The sequence below is a fragment of the Homo sapiens genome, chromosome 1 (genome assembly GCF_000001405.40).
Source record: "Homo sapiens chromosome 1, GRCh38.p14 Primary Assembly".
Taxonomy (NCBI): Eukaryota; Metazoa; Chordata; class Mammalia; order Primates; family Hominidae; genus Homo; species Homo sapiens.
The window spans coordinates 114768253-114788738 of NC_000001.11; the positions used below are offsets into that span (position 1 = coordinate 114768253).

The 20486-nt window shown below is 38.1% G+C and overlaps 1 protein-coding gene across 4 annotated transcripts, besides 5 other annotated features; it reads right to left on the bottom strand.

The window, feature by feature from the left end:
• Positions 1-1226: 1226 nt before the first annotated feature.
• Positions 1227-12433, bottom strand: SIKE1 (suppressor of IKBKE 1). Of its 4 annotated transcripts, none has more exons than NR_049741.2 (5): positions 12135-12433; positions 11858-11963; positions 10890-11032; positions 8094-8207; positions 1227-6120 (listed from the first exon to the last, which is right to left on the bottom strand). NR_049741.2 is itself a non-coding variant. In NM_025073.3 (5 exons), exons 1-5 carry the CDS (start codon positions 12353-12355, stop codon positions 6019-6021), a joined length of 624 nt encoding a protein of 207 aa, NP_079349.2. In that variant the 5' UTR covers positions 12356-12433; the 3' UTR covers positions 1227-6018. The 4 variants fall into 4 exon arrangements, 2 of the variants coding, with proteins under 2 accessions (NP_079349.2, NP_001095866.1); NM_025073.3 differs by having other exon boundaries at positions 12197-12433; NM_001102396.2 differs by having other exon boundaries at positions 12185-12433.
• Positions 11619-12185: an enhancer, noted in NCBI's record as "H3K27ac hESC enhancer chr1:115322492-115323058 (GRCh37/hg19 assembly coordinates)". NCBI's record gives its function as "activates a minimal SCP1, AML or CMV promoter by ChIP-STARR-seq in naive H9 embryonic stem cells {active_cell/tissue: H9 hESC(naive)}" and the evidence as "EXISTENCE:reporter gene assay evidence [ECO:0000049][PMID:30033119]".
• Positions 12186-12751: an enhancer, noted in NCBI's record as "H3K27ac hESC enhancer chr1:115323059-115323624 (GRCh37/hg19 assembly coordinates)". NCBI's record gives its function as "activates a minimal SCP1, AML or CMV promoter by ChIP-STARR-seq in naive H9 embryonic stem cells {active_cell/tissue: H9 hESC(naive)}" and the evidence as "EXISTENCE:reporter gene assay evidence [ECO:0000049][PMID:30033119]".
• Positions 12186-12815: a biological region, named in NCBI's record as "H3K27ac hESC enhancer GRCh37_chr1:115323059-115323624".
• Positions 12216-12455: an enhancer, noted in NCBI's record as "active region_1552". NCBI's record gives its function as "activates an Ori minimal core promoter by ATAC-STARR-seq in GM12878 lymphoblastoid cells {active_cell/tissue: GM12878}" and the evidence as "EXISTENCE:reporter gene assay evidence [ECO:0000049][PMID:35858748]".
• Positions 12696-12815: an enhancer, noted in NCBI's record as "active region_1553". NCBI's record gives its function as "activates an Ori minimal core promoter by ATAC-STARR-seq in GM12878 lymphoblastoid cells {active_cell/tissue: GM12878}" and the evidence as "EXISTENCE:reporter gene assay evidence [ECO:0000049][PMID:35858748]".

Here is a 20486-nt window from a genome sequence, read left to right on the forward strand (position 1 = left end):
CGTGGATACGAGAAGCTGTATCACTTATATCTCTTTTATGGCAAAGGGATTACTGCAGATATAATTAAGATCTCTAATCAGTTGGGTTAATCAAGAGGGAGATATTCTGGTTGGACCTGACTTAGGTGTATTCTTAAAAGGGAGTCTATTTGCCGGGCATGGTGGCACATGCCTGTAATCCCAGCTACTCGGGAGGCTAAGGCAGGAGAATTGCTTGAACCCGGGAGGTGGAGGTTGCAGTGAACTGAGATCACGCCATTGCACTCCAGCCTGGGCAACAGGACAACGGGAGCGAAACTCCGTCTCAAAAAAAAAAAAAAAAAAGGAGTCTAGAGGTGGGAGACAAGAAGTCAGAGATATTTCCTGTTGCCCTTGAAGAGAGTCTTCTAGTTGTAGAGCTGTACTGAAATGGATTTTGTCAATAATTACGTGAACGTGGGAGAGAGACTGGAGCCTCATACGGGATGCTGGCTTCAGCTGACACCTTGATTTTAGCCTTGTGAGTGCAAGAGAGGAGAACCCATTTGAGCCCTGCATGGACTTCAGACCTACAGAACTGTGAGATAATACGTGGATGTTGCTCTAAACTGTTATTTGTGGTAATTTGTTATATAGCAGTAGAAAACTAATACAGCCAGCCATACTCCAAATTTGTGTGGTGGCACACTCTTGATAAAAAGGTGTCAATGGAAAGAACAGAAAATGGCCAAAACCCATGTTCTTTTTTCACATGGTCCTGAGTTTGACTGAAATATTCAGATTGCCTTTGTCCAGTCATCCACCATAAGTGCAAACCAATTTTGTATATGCTTACAATCAACCACATCGGAACCTGTACCTGTGTAAGACATATCCCAATATCAAAGATGTTAAAATAAGAAATAGAAATGAATGTTACAATCAGTAACATACAAACATTCATCAATTAGTTCCACACATATTTATACGAGCCTAGATGAAATTTTGAGTGAAGTTGTAGCTAATTGAAACTCTGAAGGTTCTGCCTCCTCTTCAGCATTACAGGAGTGACAAAACAAAAAGCATTATCTGCTTTTTCCTATATTAGCAGATAATACCCCTTAATTCACTCTGAAAGTTGCCATGAGATATTATCAGTGAAATAACTGCAGAATGTGAAATACGTCATCTTATAGTTAAATGTGTTTAATATAAATGAGACACAGGAAGGGAGAATTAAAAATTAGTAAGTAAAATATTAGCAAGGATTTTTTTAAAAAATGTATAATTTATTATATATGTATGTATTCCTTAACAATATGTTGTATAACCCAACAATGAAATATACATCAATGAAAATGACAGCTATAAAACAATAAAACTTGTGAATTCTAGAGACATGTTGAGTGAAAAAAACCAAATCCTTAGACTACATAGAGTATGATACAATTTTTTTGAAGTTCAAAAAGAAAGAAAACTATAAAATAAGTCACTTTAGGGATACATATGTATTTTAGGTCTTTCTACATTCGAACAAATCTATTAAAAAGAGAGCGGGGGGGTCGGCAAAGATAGGAGAAGAGCTCAAATAGATAAAATACAAGCACTCATAATGTTATTCTTAAGTTAGGTGATGAGTTATTATGCTTGATAATTTATTTGCATTCCCCATTTACCCTTTTATAAGCATCAAATATTACATTTAAATATAAGTCCCAAATTATGTATAAAGTGTTGATAAAATTTATATCTGCATGGCTGTTCCTAAAACTATGCTTATTTTATCAAGCAGAGTTCTTGGTTTTAGGCAATTCAGGTTAGTTTTAATAACAGCAAAAAAATGATTTTATTAAAAGTAATTCTCAGGATCTCTAGGACAGCCAGCAAACAAGAATTAGAGGTTACAGGCCAGGCACAGTGGCTCACGCCTATAATCCCAGCACTTTGGGAGGCCAAGGCGGGCGGATCACCTGAAGTCATAAGTTCGAGACCAGCCTGGCCAACATGGAGAAACCCCATCTACTAAAAACACAAAAATTAGCTGTGCATGGTGGTGGGCACTTGTAATCCCAGCGACTTGGGAGGCTGAGGCAGGAGAATCGCTTGAACCCAGGAGGTGGAGGTTGCAGTGAGTTAAGACAGTGCTACTGCACTCCAGCCTGGTTGACAGAGCAAGACTGTCTCAAAAAATAAAAATAAAAAAATAGAATTAGAGGTTATCGCTAACTAAATCACTTTTGCTGTACCTCTGTGGAGATGAATGCAGTAGTGTTGTTAATCACCATCTTCAAAGGAATCTGCATGGTTCCCTCCTTCTTTGTATCACTAATTTTAAAATTGAAGGCAGATGTTTCTTCCTTAGCTGCAAAAGGAGGCTGAGAAAACATTACCTGGTACTTTCAAATTCTTTAGGAGGAAGAAATGCTCTGCCTCATTAGGTGAGGGATTCCTTAAACACAGGAGTTAGGATACTGGGCAGCCAAAAGAGAAATGACAGATGTCTGCTACAGCCCATTCTCTTGGCCATTCAATGTCAACACACTCCTTCAGCTAATTCTTCCAAAACTATATTCAAGGGGAAAGGACTTGACAATATAAAGTCACAGACATGTCACAGTCACAGACACTGTTAATTGCTTTCTCAATATTCTTTCTTCTTGCTAATACTGATTTTATTTGGGACAGCTATGTACCCTGCTTTCTTTGCAGGTACCAGTGGCCATTTAACTGGTCAGGCAATTAAGTCAAGGGAAAATCCATTTGGGATTTCTGAGAAAGCTTTGCTTTCCCTCATAAAAGGCGATATATATAGCTGGCACAGGCCATTTCCATTTTTTCTTCCTTGCCTTCAACATGGCCATGACATTTGGCTTGGCAACAACTTTCTAGCAAACACAAGAAAACAGCATGAGGGATGTAAGCCAATATGGTAAGGAGGCAGATTTGAAAGACAGAACTGCACCTTTTCCTGTATATAGTAAGAGTCACTGATTAAACATTATTCCTTTCAGTTGAATCACACATACTCTCAGCTACACCATTCTAGAAAATAATATCTCATTAGTTAAGACTCCATTTATTGAATTCATAATACTTTATAAGCTGTGGTGTTTCTTTTGCACTAATAAAAATAGATTTTGCTAATCAAGAACCACTTGAACTCCCAACAGTATTTGGCATTTAGGCATCTCAAGTTAGTTAGTGATTAAAAATGTGCTTAAGACTCTGTCTGGGTTTGAATCTTGGTTCCAGTTTGGACAAATAACCACCTCCTTGTGCCTGAGTATCTGCAAAATGAGGTACAGTTAAAATGGAGTTTATATAATACAGTACCTGACAGGTAGTAAAGCACTCAATAGATGGTAGCTATTATTGGCAATACCATACATACTTTGCTTTTGTGGCACCAAAGTTTTCTATTTCCCTCCTACCCATTTATTATCTCTATTGAATTCTCAAGTTTAAAGTCCCTCTTCTGTATCTTATACATACTATAATGGATTTATCACACTGCATTATAATTTTATATATATACTTGTCTCCTGTACCAGACTTTTTCATTTTTAAATTCATAAGTACTAATGAAGTGGTTGGCACATAGACTATTTTCTTTTTCATCTTTTAGAGTGCTAACTATTACACAATGGGGCCTAGACTAGATATTTTAAAATCAGTGTCTTTAGGAATTGTTTGAGATGATTAGAATACAAATTCTTGAACTTCATCACCAAGTTTCTATTTCAGTAGGTCAGGGAAGCACATTTTGAAGAACACTAAAATAGACCTTCAATGTTTGAATCCAATTATGCATAAGGTATTAATATAAGAATTATACATAAGATATTGATATAATACTACACTAATATAAGGTACTATTTGTAGAGTTATACACTGCTGAATATACTGTGCTAATTACAAAGTATTTATGACTCTTGTGAGGACCACTTGACAAGGTTGCTATATATATGTAAAAAAACCCTCTGCACTTCCTCATTTGACTTACTACTGAGTAAAATTAGCTTATCTTCTCAAAATGCAGTTTTTGTTAGAAAATATAATTTTGAACTAAGATTTTTGCAAACCAGGCAAGTTCTTCATCCACTCAAGGAGAAACTTTAAAATCCACTTAAAATGAAGAGCATTCCTCCCCGACTCAATTTTCTAACTACATATTATCTTCATAGCATTAACACCAGCCAGAATTTATATTATGTAGAGCACTAAAAGCTTCTTAGACTTGTACCTCAGGCTTTTAATTTTGCAGGGGGAAAAGTTAGTATGTCGATTTATCCTAACACTTGAGATATAAAGAACTTTATAAACAGCTCTAAAGGAACATAAAGCACATAAAGGGACACCATATTATACCTTGATTTGATTACTTCATCATTTTCACTGAAATCTGGCCATGGTAGGTTTGGCCGTGGCTGCCAAATGGTATAGAGTACCTGCCTCTTGAATGGATTTATGGGGTCACTTAAGGTATACTTCGAGGCAGATGGCTGGGCTAATAGTTACTTACTTACTCTTGGGAAATGAAATAAAAAATGCTCACACTTGGAAGTGTTTTTTTTGTCAAATTCTATGCAGGATATCAAACAGAAATTTGAAAAATTCTTAAATGACATATACCTATTCATTAACACCCACTGCTCTAGATGACATCCATTAGTTATTACTGGGATCAGATGCTTTTAGGACATCTTTAAAATATTTTGTTATTTTAACTGTAGTTCTTTATAGCATTACGAAAGAAATATCACTCACATAAAGCACTAACAACTCTTTTTAGTACTGTGTCTCTCCCATGCAGTATGGTGCTTAATGTTACTGGAAAATATTGACAGGTTTAGCATTATTTCAACTAATTCTGGGCAAATCTAAATAGAATAGTATAACATGAAGAAATTTATAAATTTGAAATGTGAGTAAACTGGGACGGGAATGAGTTGATGAGTGAACCCAGTTGACCACTGGGCATTTGAATCTCAATGTTGCCTACACAGCATTATGAGTGTAATAATTTTCATTAGGTAACAAAACTGCTTCCTCACCTTTTTATATAGCTTAAACAAAAAAAAAGAAAAAAGATAAAAAAAAACCCTGCTTCTATGTAAACAAAAAAAAAGAAAGCCAACTATTAGTGCTAGGAATGAAAGACATCCAATCCAAGTAAGTGATGGTTCTTAACTATAAAATGGAAATTGTATAAAAATTAAAATAGAATGTAGAACTAGTAGGATAACATTGAAAAACTGACTACTTATATTTGTTTTTTTTATTTTGTGTGTGTTTTTGGCTGATTATATTTAATAAAAGCTACTTTTAGTATTTGAACTAAGTGCACATGTGTGCATTCACATACACAGGACAAGCTCCTCAGCTTTGAACAATATGAACTTTGGACAATATGACAACTATAGCATCACTGGGCAAAAAAAATAGCTGACTTATTTCCAAGTGTGTTTCCTGGGACTAGCAGTAGGTTCTCTCAAATTAAAAGTAAAGGCACCAGGCTATAAAGTGCCAATTCTTAGCACCAGAGAGACTTAAAATGTCACAGGTGAATGACATTACAAATCAGAGAATCTGCTGATCTAGTTCTGTGGAATTGTATTATTTTTGTCAAATGGAAAAAAAAAATCAAGGTTTATGCCAAATAGATTTAAACAGTTAAATCTTTCCTAAAATTTCCTAGAAGTGTATTTTACAATGCTATGTAAAATAAATTGCTGGCTTATAAAAAATGCTCAAAGTTTCAGAGATGTGAAAAATAACAAAGAACTGAAAACATAGTTTATATAAATCAAGGTCCCAGAAATGAAAATTAAAAGTAGTCTCTTTGAGAAAGGAATGGTGAAATTCAGCATGTAGTATTCACATTAACACATCTGAGAACTGTGGACAGCCAATATTGACTGGAATTCTAAATTGCCACCTGATACCTTTAATTAAGATTAAATCAAATCTGAGGCAAGACACTTAATGGACAGTACTTGAATGGGAAGACAGTAACTTCCTTCCTTGATAGACAATCTCCAGCCATCATTCAGAGTTCAGTTATTTGATGGCTTGGGAAGCAGTGTCCATTGAGTTTTCCTTTCTGGCTTGAAGAGACTCACTGCTGATGGACAATAATTCTCGAAGTTCCTTATTTTCAAGCTGGAAAAAAAAAGGCATGTTTATTTCTGGTATTTTTACTGTCCAACTGCATTACAACAACACATTATTTTGAGCCAGGAGCAGAAAACATTATTTTAATTTTAAAAAATTTATGGAAACAAAAAATCCACTAGTTGAGAATTTCCTTAAATACTACTTTATTCATTTAACAAACATTTACATGTAGGATGTAGGCAATGATACTCTTTTGTAGTAGTAATTTACTGAGTAATTTCTATATACCAAGTGTTAGGATTACAAAGGAGAAACAAAAAACAAGGTCCTCTCCATTTAAGGAATTCACTGTTATATTCTTCTTGGTTCCCACAGTTTTACTATTATTTCTTTTATTTAAAAAATTCCTAATAATCGTTTCACTCTGATTAATCTCCTCTCCTGGATATCTTACAGTTCTAGAGAAATGGAAGGAAAGGGGGAAAGAAATTACTTATTGAGCATGTAGCTGGGTACTACTTGGGTGCCCTGTATATGTTATCTCACAATAATCTGTAGGGTAGGTATCATTGCCTACATCCATATATTTCAGATGAGGATACTCTGGCTCACAAAATTCCTAAAAGTTGTCCAAATTCAGACAACTTGGATGTGGTATTGCTGGGGTCTGAATCTGGTGGTCGTGTATTTTCTACTTGAAGTATTAAGGTAGAATTTGCCCCACATTTCCTTAGGGCTGTTTCCGTAAGTGAGGTAAATCGGGGATAAATAGAAGGTCATGCTATCATTTCACTAGCTCCTAATTCCTACTTGGGACCTGTCACTACCTTTGATTTCTAGAGAGGGTAGCTTCTGCTCTTCATCCTTATCCTCTGCAGAAAACTCTGGTAAACCAAAGCATTTTTAGCTTCACCAAGATGTGCGGAAGTCCCAGCTAGAGTAACTAAGAGATTAGAGCCTGTGGTCGACGAATCTTCTACCACATGAAGTGCTTCCTTCGGTATTTGTATCTGTCTCCTAGCATTTACATATTATTTAATATCATATAATACTAGGGTTATCCCTTCCACTAGACTCTGGGCAGGTATCTGTTTTTTTCTCTCTGGTATTTCTCAAAGGCCCCAGGACAGCACCTTGTAATAAGCAGCATTCAAACCATTCACTGAAATGCTTTGCTTTTTTTTTTTTTTTTTTGAGACAGGGTCTCACTCTGTCACTCGGTTGGAGTGCAGTGGCATGCATGATCGTGGCTCACTGCAGCCTTGACTTCCCAGGTTCAGGTGATCCTCACACCTCAGCCTCTGAGTACCTGGGATTACAGGTGTGCACCACCACACCTGGCTAATTTTCTGTATTTTTTGTAAAGACAGGGTTCCGCCATGTTGCCCAAGCTGCTCTTGAACTCTTGGGCTCAAGCAATTCACTTACCTCAGCCTCTCAAAGTTGAAATGTTTTTCCTTAACAATTTTATGAGCACACTAATACCCCGAACTTTTTTTGTAACATATTCCTATTCTAATCAAAATATGACATAAACATAGCTTTTAAGAAATCAAGACTACAAGGCTTATACAAGCAGTTCTTTGGCTTTGTACCCCAAATGCAACCACTTTTAACACTTTTATCTATTTCTTTTGGTATTTAATTCTGTAATTCTAAATAATATGCTTATACTGCTATTTCCTGATCATCAATTTTAGACATTATCTACTTCACTTCTTATTATGGCAGATGAAGGATTTTATCTCACATATAACTTCTCCCCTCCACTCCCTCTACCTTCCCATATGATAATACCTCAAGTTCTTGCCAATACATAGTTGGTATTTCCATTGATTGCTGTTTACTATATTTCCTTTCTTCAAAAGGGTATAAAAGGGTATGAAGGAGGAGTTTTAATTTTAAATCATGAGCACACAGAAAACATCAATATATTACAGTGATGGGATAGTGATGGCATATCTTCCAGACTCGGAAAACTATGAAATACTGTGAACCTAAATTAGCTACAATCTTACCTCTAATTGGGCTAATTTTTCCTGAATCTTACAAAACTGGTCATCATCCACCTGAACTGCTTTCCTCATCACTTCTCCCATTTCACAGATTCTGTCAATCTGACTCTCAATTTCCTGTGAAGATATTAAGGAAACAAAGGTGGAAAAATCACCTGTTCTGTAGATATAAAGAACGTAAAAGCATGTGCATTACGATTTTTAAAAGTTCATTTAATCTATGATACAGAAGTTACAATGGAGTTTCCCTACAATTTTAGTCCTCAGACATGAAGCCATAGTAAAGTGACCTTGTATTCACGGATATTTTTTTTTTTTTCTTTCAAAAAATCAATTGTGGAAGACAGTGTGGTGATTCCTCAAGGATCTAGAACTAGAAATACCATTTGACCCAGCAATCCCATTACTGGGTATATACCCAAAGGATTGTAAATCATGCTACTATAAAGACACATGCACACATGTTTATTGCGGCACTATTCACAATAGCAAAGACTTGGAACCAACCCAAATGTCCATCAATGATAGACTGGATTAAGAAAATGTGGCACATATATACCATGGAATACTATGCAGCCATAAAAAAGGATGAGTTCATGTCCTTTGTAGGGACATGGATGAAGCTGGAAACCATCATTCTGAGCAAACTATCACAAAGACAGAAAACCAAACACCGCATGTTCTCACTCATAGGTGGGAATTGAACAATGAGAACACTTGGACACAGGGTGGGGAACATCACACACCGGGGCCTGTCATAGGGTTGGGGGAGTGGGGACGGATAGCATTAGGAGGAATACCTAATGTAAAGGACGAGTTAATGGGTGCAGCACACCATCATGGCACATGTATACATATGTTAACAAACCTGCACGTTTTGCACATGTACCCTAGAACTTATTTAAAAAACAAACAAAAAAAAGGCCTCCTTAAGGGGATCCTCATTCCAGTTGTATATGTTCTATTGATACCACTACTAAGGAATACAGTTTTTTAAAATATATATAATGTTTCTTATATTTAAAACCAAGAAGTGAAGAGTAGAATGCATTTTCTGTTTTCGCTCTTTGCCCAGACATCAAGTTGATAATCATATGGTTATCTGTGATATGCATCAGCTCATAAGTAACCCTTTGGTATGTGAACATGGGGAATTTTAAAATACTGGGCTCTTCAATATGGATTTGTGTTACACTCATGTCATCATCTCATGCCTTCCAAGATTTCAAAGGATCTGATGGCTGTAATTGCAGAGAATAAATGAGTAATCTTTAGTCTATTTCAGAAATAGAAGGCCACATGATTCCCTTTCCATAAAGGACTAAGGTTTCATCCAATGCCAACTCTGGTAAGGCCTTAGTCATTTTTGTGGGTGAAATCTGATTCGATGCAAGCAATGTTATTTTCATTTCTGAAAATTATCTATGTCCAGTGCATCAATCCCCCAGTAGGTCCACACTCCAATAAAAAGATTTGAAATGGAAAAAAAAAATCAATTGTAGTTTAACTACCCATTGGATGTTGGATACTATCTCTAAGTGGCTGTTTAACTTAAATTTGAATACTTTTACTGGCAGGAAGCTTACTACATTCCAAGGTGCTTTATTCCATCTTTGGACATATCACTTAGAAAGTTTATCTATCTGAGTAAACTCTGTCTCTTTCAAGGTTCAAGTTTTTTCCTCCATACGAGAAGAAAATCTATTTTTCTCTTCCAGATGAAAGCCATTCAAATATTTAAAATATCTGTTTCCTAAAACTTTTAAGTCAGTAAAATGCATTCAATGGAATTTAAGATGAAGCTTATATTTCACTACATCTCACAGAAGTAGTAGGCTCCAACCCTATACATCTAGAATTAAATGATACAGTACACAAGAATGTACAATGACAACCATGAAGCACCTATAAACATAAGAACAATTACTGAGTCTCCCAAATTAGCAAAGAACAGAAACTATGCCATGTTTGTTTTTTTAAAAAACCATACTTCTCTCCCCTAACAACATAGTATGATACTATGTGGTTCAGTTTATAAAAGGTTTACTGACTGCCTGCTGTATGTCAGGTACTATGTTAGGAATAAAATGTGAATTCATGCGCCTTACAAGCAAGGAGCTTAAGTTAAATGTATAAGTAATAACCAACCAAGTGTTTACCAGGCAGCTTCAACACTAACTGGCATTATGTTTGGTGGGAGCGCTAAGAATTAATGAACATTTTCAAAAGAGATCTTGGTGAGGGAGGGGGAACCTTAGTCCCACTCAAATAAAAGGATCTGAGCAGCCCCTATCCTCCTTCTTTCTATTCATATCTTTACAAAGCCATGGCAAAATAAACAACAAATGTGATAAACATGAAAGGAAAATGAGCTTACTTTTCTTCAAAAACAAGCACACATGGCCAGGCGCAGTGGTTCATGCCTATAATCCCAGCACTTTGGAAGGCTAACGTGGGTGGATCGCTTGAGCCCAGGAGTTTCAGACCAGCCTGGGCAACATGGCGAAATGTCATCTCTACCAAAAAACAAACAAACAAACAAACAAACAAACAACCCCACAAAAATTAACAGGGCGTGGTGGTGTGCACCTGTAGTCCCAGCTGCTCCGGAGGCAGAGGTGAGACGATGGCTTGAGCCCAGGAGGCAGAGGTTGCAGTGAGCCGAGATCGTGCCATTACACCACGGCCTGGTCGACAAGAGCCAGACCCTATCTCACAAAGCAAAAAAACAAGCACACAATCTAAAACAATCTCAAGATTTCAATTTGGTTCATTTCGAATTTATTCAAAGTTTCTTACTGCAGAGTGAGACTGGTGAGCTTTCAGGACTGGTTCAGCATCCACCGCTTTTTTAGCAACCATTAACTGTAACATCTGTTTCCGATATTTGCTCATGATAAGTTCCAAAGCATCCTGGTGTTCCTCCAAGGAAATCCATAGCTCTGTCAAAAAATAAAAGAACTTGGCAGTGATGTCTGAGAGACAGTTCCCAAATCCAAAGTCTTAACAGTTGGAATTTTGTAACACTATATAGATAATATGAATCTAAAGTTGTAAATCAATGTTTAAGTCCGCAAAACTGAACAGTTAAAGTCTATGTGAAAGGTAACTTTCTAGGCAGAGAAGCAAAGTCTTGCAGAAACAACAATGGATGTATCATCAGAAGACATGTGTTTGAGTTCAGTTCTGTAACTTGCTTGGTTAATACTCATAAGTAAATCATTTAGCTTCTTCTGAGCCTATTTCTTAACTGCATTGTGGTAGATAAAAATGAAGATATGAGAATACAGTAGAATGATATATGTGAAACCCCTCTGGTAAACAACTATTAATACCACAATCATTAATAATGTACTAATCAAGCCTAAGAATATATACCCTTAGAATAAAATTCTGCTGCTTCACCTTGCACAAACAAGAACATAAACAAAACCTTAAATCTTACCTTCAGTGTTTATATTAATACTTAAACATTAAATTTTAAGTCCATGAGGCTATGAACTCTTTTGTTACACATCTGAGGATGCTTAAAAATAAACCATGCAATAATACCAACTCTACACAGCACCTCTTTGGTAAGCTGCTGCAATATTAGTCAGATGACCTTGAAAAGGGTAATCTAACAAACTTTATTGTTACTGGGCCAGATCAGGAGGACTCTCCTACTAAAAGTACTGACCTGGAAATATATGTACACTTTTGTAAATGTTTAGGGCAATTTTGCAATAACTTTAAACTATTACCAGATATGAAAAGGCCTGACTAACCTCTGTTTTCCTGTTGCAAGTCTCTAATCTGTGTGTTCTCTTGGGACAGCAGAATGTGAGGTTTGTATTTGGACATGTCCTTCATATCGGATGCATCCTCTTGATACTGGACAAATAGAGACAGACTAAGCATGCCTTAAAGAGAACAGCGGCAGATGCAACTGAAGAGGCAGAAGTTAGGGCTCCAGGGCAGGATTCTCAGCCCCGACCCAGGAAAATGGTCTCACCGCCGCCCTCTGAGACCGGGAATAAATTCCAGGCCGAGTTCCCACTTTACCTCGCTCTCCACCCTTCAGTGCCCAGAATCCGAGAGCACTGGACTCCTACCCTCTGCCTGACCTGGTCCGGAAGCGCTGTCCCCGCCTCCCGCATAGCTGCTACCCGCCGGTGCAGCGCCGCCGACTGATCCACCAGCGACTCGGCGGCCGCATCGTGCTCCCGTAGCCTCTCCAGCAGCGTCTTGGCGTCTGTCAGGATCTTCTCGATGGTGCAGCTCATAGCAGCAGCACCACCCCAGCCCCTGCCGGGCTCAGCTACGCGACTCGCTCAGATCTTCTGGGAGTCTGTCTCAGCATTACAGGCGTCATTTCCGGGCACGTTTACAAGGTGTCTTGGTAGGCGCAATGGGCGCCTGCGCAGTGGCAGCCTATTTTGCGGGTTGACCCGCTTTAACCTGCGGCTTCCTTGCAGTCCTTCCTTGCGCGGAGCCCCAGACCTACACTTGCCACGCCGTTGGTTTCCAGTTACCACAGCCTGGTGGTCAGGCTATGATTAGCTGGGCAGTGGGAAGGTCTCCTTTCCCTACTGGTTTTCATTGATGTGGGTTGTTCTTCAGTCACAGTTAGTTTCTTTTTATTTTCATTATTTTTTTCTTTTTTGAGACGGAATCTTGCTCTTGTCCAGGCTGGAGTGCAGTGGCGCGATCTTGGCTCATTGCAACCTCTGCCTCCAGGGTTCAAGCGATTCTCCTGCCTCAGCCTCTCGAGTAGCTGGGATTACAGGCATGCGCCACCACGCCGGCTGATTTTTCTATTTTTAGTAGAAACGGGGTTTCACATGTTGGCCAGGCCGGTTTCGAACTCCTGACCTCAAGTGATCCGCCCGCCTCGGCCTCCCAAAGTGCTGGGATTACAGGTGTGAGCCCCCGCGCCTGGCCTACTTTCATTTAATTTTTTTTAAATTGTGGCAAAATACACATAAAATTTAATATCTCAGCCATTTATAAGTGTACAGTTCAGTTGTACATTCATATTGTTATACAGCCACCATCAGCATCCATCTCTAGAACTCTTTCATCTTGCAGTACTGAAGTTCTGTACTCATTAAACAATAATTCCTCATTCTTCCTTATCCCCAGCTCCTGGCAGCCACCATTCTACTTTGTGTCTCTACAAATCTGACTATTCTGGGTACCTGACATGAGTGAAATCATACAGCATTTGTATTTATATAACTGCCTTATTTCACTTAGTGTAATGTCCACGAGTTTCATCCATATAGTAGCATATGTTAGAATTTCCTTCCTTTTTAAGGCTGAATAATATATATATACCACGTTTTGTTTATCCATTCATCCGTGGATGGACAGTTGGGTTGCTTCCACCTTTTGCTATTGTCAATAATGCTGCTATTGCAACTGGCTCACGTCTGGCTGCTTGCTGCCTAGAGGCCAAAAACATGAGAAGTGACCTGTGGTGAAAGCTTTACTAATCAAATGCTCGCAGATGGGGAATGGCTAGGCTCATGCCTTCAAAACAGCATTCCACTTTTTTTTTTTTTTTGGTCAAGGTATCCCAGAGACAGTATCAGTGTCCAAACTTTAATTTTGTCCCATATCAATGCCAGGGTGGTGTGCTACCTGCCCTGAGTCCATCATGTCCCTCCTGCGGCCAACTGACTTAGAGTCAAAAGAGTTACAGCCAATTAAACGTTCTAGGTCAGATGGGAAGGAGGTGGGCAGGCACTCATTAACCTTAAAACCCCTCTTAAGCAATGTTAAGAGGCAAAAACCAAAAGGCAAGGGTTACAAAATTGACTTATCTATAAATTCTATGCATTGAGCTGCTGTAATCTTGGCTTGTTGCAATTAGCTATACAAAATGCAAGCATTTTGTTTAGCTGTTTTGGCATCTGTGTCATCCTTGATTTGTAGGGTCTGAACTAATTTTAGCTCTCAATACTGGCCCTTACAACATTACGTTATAGTCTCTAGGCATGGCGGGATTGAAGAGTTTCAACTTTTGTAGGTAAAACAAAACAGAAAGAATTAACAACATTTCAAACACAAAGGTCATAAACCCTGCCTAGTTTTGAGAATAACAGGAAAAGAAGTTCATAGGTAGCTAAACACTTAAATTATTTAGTATCAAGGCACAGAATAAATTATATTAATTCAGATAGAGGCAGAATTGTTAAATGAATCTTAATATTTTTGAACACAAGACTGTCCCTGTGTCTCATGAAAGCAGTTTACTTTGTCGCCTTTGCCTGAGTCTAACGATGAGGCTTTGGTTAATTGCAGTTTAGTGTCAGATACTGGCAGGAGTTGATGCCTTCTTTGGATGAGATATGTGTAAGTCCCTATAACTTAAAAGCACAAGGATTAGTTAATATCACCTGATAAGGACCTTTTCAAGGAGCTGGAGGTGTGATACCGGAGTCTATGACCTGACTGGAAGCTGTAAAAATATTTTACAACCTTGCAGTGATTAATTTTTATAGCTTCGATAAACCCCAGCAATAAGTCAGAGACTTAATTTACGATTTTGATTTTGAGGACATTGGTCAAAGATTTTAAAAGCCTCAAAACATTTGATCAAAACAAGATAATATTCATTGTAAAAATAATAGTTACTCATTTAACCAAACTGATAATTAAAGACTTTAAAGGCAATTGAGAAGGTTACCAGGACATAAAAACCTGAACCCTTTTAAATCTCAGTTTTTCTAGGCAATTAAAAACCCATTAAAGAGAGCATGGGAATTATTTGATAAAACATTAAAATCTTGTTTCTTAAGCAAGTTACTACACAGGCAAAAAACCCCTTCTGCTGTGTGACTGCTTCTCCTTATGGGAAGACCATGTAGGTAACCTGAAAGTCATACTTGAAAAAAGTGCTTGAATTTAATCAGACACAAGAAGAGTGTATTCATGCTTATGAGTATAGCAAGGGAATACATCTCTCTGAGCAATTGCGTGAGAAGTTTCCTGATTACAACGAAAATCACATATCAAGAAAAGCCGGGAGTACAGAATCAAGTTATATTGGAGGAAAACACTGCTTTTATAGACTTCTAAGATAAAACATTTCAGCATCAGGCCCCAACAGTTAGAATCAGAGGAAAAAGAATTAGAGGAGCTGATGGAAAAAGTTGAAGGAGAGTGTCCTTTTCAAAGGGAGGAAAAAACTGAAAACAGCCAGACACAACAAAAGCTGAACTTCTGAGATATGAATCTGAGAAGTTTTAAAAAAAAATAGGTGATAGAATTAAAAAGCAAAATTTCCTTTAATTTCATTAAGAGTAAACCAACACCTTAGGAAAACCTTATTTAAACCTAGGGAATCATTCATTATTTTTATTTTTATTTTACTTTAAGTTCTGGGATACATGTGCAGAACATGTAGGTTTGTTACATAGGTATACATGTGCCATGGTGGTTTGCTGTACCTATCAACCCATCATCTAGGTTTTAAGCCCCACATGCATTAGGTATTTGTCCTAATGCTCTCCCTCCCCCTGCCCCCCACCCCCCAACAGGCCCGGGTGTGAGATGTTCCCCTCCCTTTGTCCATGCGTTCTTATCGTTCAACTCCCACTTATGAGTGAGAACATTTGGTGTTTGGTTTTCTGTTCCTGTGTTAGTTTGCTGAGGGTGATGGTTTCCAGGTTCATCCATGTCCCTGCAAAGGACATGAACTCATTCTTTTTTTTTTTTTTTTCTTTTTGAGACAGAGTTTCACTCTTGTTGTCCAGGCTGGAGTGCAATGGTGCGATCTCGGCACACTGCAACCACTGTCTCCTAGGTTCAAGCGATTCTCCTGCCTCAGCCTCCCAAGTATTTGGGATTACAGGCATGTGCCACCAAGCCTGGCTAATTTTATATTTTTAGTAGAGATGGGGTGTCTCCATGTTAGTCAGGCTTGTCTCAAACTCCCAACCTCAGGTGATCTGCCCGCCTCAGCCTCCCAAAGTCCTAGGATTATAGGCGTGAGCCACTGTGCCCGGCTGAACTCATTCTTTTTTATGGCTCCATAGTATTCCATAGTGTATATATGCCACATTTTCTTTATCCAGTCTATCGTTGATGGGCATTTGGGTTGGTTCCAAATTTTTGCTATTGTAAATAGTGCTGCAATAAACATACGTGTGCATGATTTATAATCCTTTGGAATGATTTATAATCCTTTTGGTATATACCCAGTAATGGGATTGCTGGGTCAGATGGAATTTCTGGTTCTAGATCCTTGAGGAATCGCCATACTGTCTTCCACAATGGTTGAACTAATTTACACTCCCACCAACAGTGTAAAAGCGTTCCTATTTCTTCACATCCTCACCAGCATCTGTTGTTTCCTGAGTTTTTAATGATTGCCATTCTAACTGGCATAAAATGGTATCTGATTGTGGTTTTGATTTGCATTTCTCTAATGACCAGTAATGATGAGGTTTTTTTTATATGTTTGTTGGCCCCATAAATGTCTTCTTTTTTTTTTTTTGAGAGAGAGTCTTGCACTGTCCCCCAGGCTGGAGAGCAGTGGTACGATCTCGGCTCACTGCAAGCTCCGCCTCCCGGGTTCACGCCATTCTCCTCCCTCAGCCTCCAGAGTAGCTGGGACTGCAGGCGCTCACAACCACGCCTGGCTAATTTTTTTTTTTTTTTGTATTTTTAGTAGAGATGAGCTTTCACAGTGTTAGCCAGGATGGTCTTGATCTCCTGACCTCATGATCCGTCCGCCTCAGCCTCCCAAAGTGCTGGGATTACAGGCGTAAGCCACCACACCAGGTATAAATGTCTTCTTTTGAGAAGTGTCTGTTCATATCCTTTGCCACTTTTTGATTGGGTTTTTTTTTTCTTGTAAATTTGTTTAAGTTCCTTTTAGATTCTGGAGTTTAGCCCTTTGTCAGACGGATAGATTGCAAAAATTTTCTCCCATTCTGTAGGTTGCCTGTTCACACTGACGATAGTTTCTTTTGCTGAGCAGAAGCTCTTAGTTTAATTAGATCCCATTTGTCAATTTTGGCTGCGGCTGAAATTGCTTTTGGTGTTTTAGACTTGAAGTCTTTGCCCATGCCTATGTCCTGAATGATATTACTTAGGTTTTCTTCTAGGGTTTTTATGGTTTTAGGTTTTATGTTTAAGTCTTTAATCCACCTTGAGTTAATTTTTGTTTAAGGCATAAGGAAGGGGCCCAGTTTCTGTTTTCTGCATATGGCTAGCCAGTTTTCCCATCACCATTTATTAAGTAGGGAATCCTTTCCCCATTGCTTGTTTTTGTCAGGTTTGCCGAAGATCAGATGGTTGTAGATGTGTGGTGTTATTTCTGAGGCCTCTGTTCTGTTCCATTGGTCTATATATCTGTGTTGCTATCAGTACCATGCTGTTTTGGTTACTGTAGCCTTGTAGTATAGTTTGAAATCAGGTAGTGTGATGCCTCCAGCTTTGTTCTTTTGCTTAGGATTGTCTTGGCTATATGGGCTCTTTTTTGGTTCCATATGAAATCTAAAGTAGTTTTTTCTAGTTCTGTGAAGAAAGTCAATGGTAGCTTGATGGGAATAGCAGTGAATCTATAAATTACTTTGGATAGTATGGCCATTTTCATGATACCAATTCTTCCTATCCATGAGCATGGAATTTTTTTTTCCTATTTGTTTGTGTCCTCCCTTATTTCCTTGAGCAGTGGTTTGTAGTTCTCCTTGAAGAGGTCCTTCAGGTCCCTTGTAAGTTGTATTCCTAGGTATTTTATTCTTTTTGTAGCTATTGTTAATGGGAGTTCACTCATGATTTGGCTCTCTGCTTGTCTATTATTGGTATATAGAAATGCTTGTGATTTTTGCATATTGATTTTGTATCCTGAGACTTTGCTGAAGTTGCTTATAAGCTTGAAGAGTTTTTGAGCTGAGATGATAGGGTTTTGTAGATATACAATCATGTCTTTTGCAGACACAGAAAATTTGACTTCCTCTCTTCCTATTTGAATACCCTGTATTCTTTCTTTTGCCTGATTGCCCTTGCCTGAACTTCCAATACTATGTTGAATAGAGTAGTGAGAGAGGGCATCCTTGTCTTGTGCCGGTTTTCAAGGGGAATGCTTCCAGCTTTGCCCATTCAGTACGATATTGAGTATGGGTTTGTCATAAATAGCTCTTATTATTTTGAGATACATTCCATCAATACCTAGCTTATTGAGAGTTTTTAGCATGAAGGGATGTTGAATTTCATCAAAGGCCTTTTCTGCATCTATTGAGATAATCATGTCATTTTTACATGGTTCTGTTTATGTGATGGATTATGTTTATTGATTTGTGTATGTTGAACCAGCCTTGCATTCCTGGGATGAAGCTGACTTGGTTGTGGTGGATAAGCTTTTTGATGTGCTGCTGGATTTGGTTTGCCAATATTTTATTGAGAATTATCACATTGATGTTCATCAGGGATATTGGCCTGAAATTTTCTTTTTTTGTGTTGTGTCTCTGCCATGTTTTGGTATCAGGATGATGCTGGCCTTATAAAATGAGTTAGGGATGAGTCCCTCTTTTTCTATTGTTTGGAATAGTTTCAGAAGGAATGGTATCAGCTCCTTTTTGTACCTCTGGTAGAATTCGGCTGTGAATCCACCTGGTCCTGGACTTTTTTTGGTTGGTAGGCTATTAATTACTGCCTCAATTTCAGAACTTGTTATTGGTCTATTCAGGGATTCAACTTCTTCCTGGTTTAGTCTTGGGAGGTTGTATGTGTCCAGGAATTTATCCATTTCTTCTAGATTTTCTAGTTTATGTGCAAAGAGGTGTTTATAGTATTCTCTGATGGTAGTTTGTATTTTTGTGGGATCAGTGGTGATATCCCCTTTATCATTTTTTATTACATCTGATTGATTCTTCTCTCTTTTCTCCTTTATTAGTCTTGCTAGCCGTCTGTCTATTTTGTTAATTTTTTCAAAAAACCAGCTCCTGGATTCATTGATTTTTTGACGGGGGTTTTTTTTTTGTCTCAATCTCCTTTTTTGCTCTGATCTATTTCTTGTCTTCTGCTAGTTTTTGAGTTTCTTTGCTTTTGCTTCTCTAGTTCTTTTAATTGTGATGTTAGGGTGTTGATTTTAGATCTTTTCTGCTTTCTGATGTGGGCAATTAGTGATATAAATTTCCCTCTAAACACTGCTTTAGCTCTGTCCCAGAGATTCTGGCATGTTGTCTCTTTATTCTCCTTGGTTTCAAATAACTTATTTCTGCCTTAATTTCGTTATTTACCTATTAGTCATTCAGGAACAGATTGTTCAGTTTCCATGTAGTTGTGCAGTTTTGAGTGAGTTTCTTAATCCTGAGTTCTAGTTTGATTGCACTGTGGTCTGAGAGTCTGTTGTCATGATTTCCATTCTTTTGCATTTGCTGAGGAGTGTTTTACTCCCAATTATGTGGTCGATTTTAGAATAAGCGCTATGTGGTGCTGCGAAGAATGTATATTCTGTTGCTTTGGGGTGGGTGGAGAGTTCTGTAGATATTTATTAGGTCTGCTTGGTCTAGAGCTGAGTTCAAGTCCTGAATATCTTTGTTAATTTTCTGTGTCATTGATCTATCTAATATTGACAGTGGGGTGTTAAAGTCTCCCACTATTATTGTGTGGGAGTCTAAGTCTCTTTGTAGGTCTTTAGGAACTAGTTTTTATGAATCTGGGTGTTCTTGTATTGGGTGCATATATATTTAGGATAGTTAGCTCTTGTTGTTGTGTTGATCCCTTTGCCATTATGTAATGCCCTTCTTTGTCTTTTTGATCTTTGTTGGTTTAAAGTCTGCTTTATCAGAAACTAGGATTGCAACCCCTGCTTTTTTTTGCTTTCCATTTGCTTGGTAAATATTCCTCCATCCCTTTATTTTGAGCCTATGTGTGTCTTTGCACTTGGGATGGGTCTTCTGAATACAGCACAGATAGGTCTTGACTCTTATTCCAATTTTCCAGTCTGTGTCTTTTAATTGGGTCATTTAGCCCATTTACATTAAAGGTTATTATTTTTATGTGTGAATTTGATCCTATAATCATGATGCTGGCTGGTTATTTTGCACATTAGTTGATGTAGTTTCTTGATGGTGTTGTTGGTCTTTATATTTTGGTGTGTTTTTGCAGTGGCTGGTACCAGTTTTTCCTTTCCATATTTAGTGCTTCCTTCAGGAGCTCTTGTAAGCAGGCCTGATGGTGACAAAATCTCAGCATTTGCTTGTCTGTAAAGGATTTTATTTGTCGTTCGCTTATGAAGCTTAGTTTGGCTGCATATGAAATTCTGGGTTGAAAATTCTTTTCTTTAAGAATGTTGAATACTGGCCTCCACTCTCTTCTGGCTTGTAGGGTTTCTGCCGAGAGATCTGCTATTAGTCTGATTGGCTTCCCCTTGTAGGTAACCTGACCTTTCTTTCTGGC

Bases quoted from the DNA above. Each gene is read 5' to 3' on its own strand.
- SIKE1 (NM_001102396.2), bottom strand. From the start codon at position 12,355: ATGAGCTGCACCATCGAGAAGATCCTGACAGACGCCAAGACGCTGCTG. The intron at 8,208-10,889 runs GTAAGAAACTTT...ATATCTTCACAG, and splicing joins CTCACCAGTCTCACTCTGCA to GAAATTGAGAGTCAGATTGA. The intron at 6,121-8,093 runs GTAAGATTGTAG...TTTTTTTTCCAG, and splicing joins AAAAATTAGCCCAATTAGAG to CTTGAAAATAAGGAACTTCG.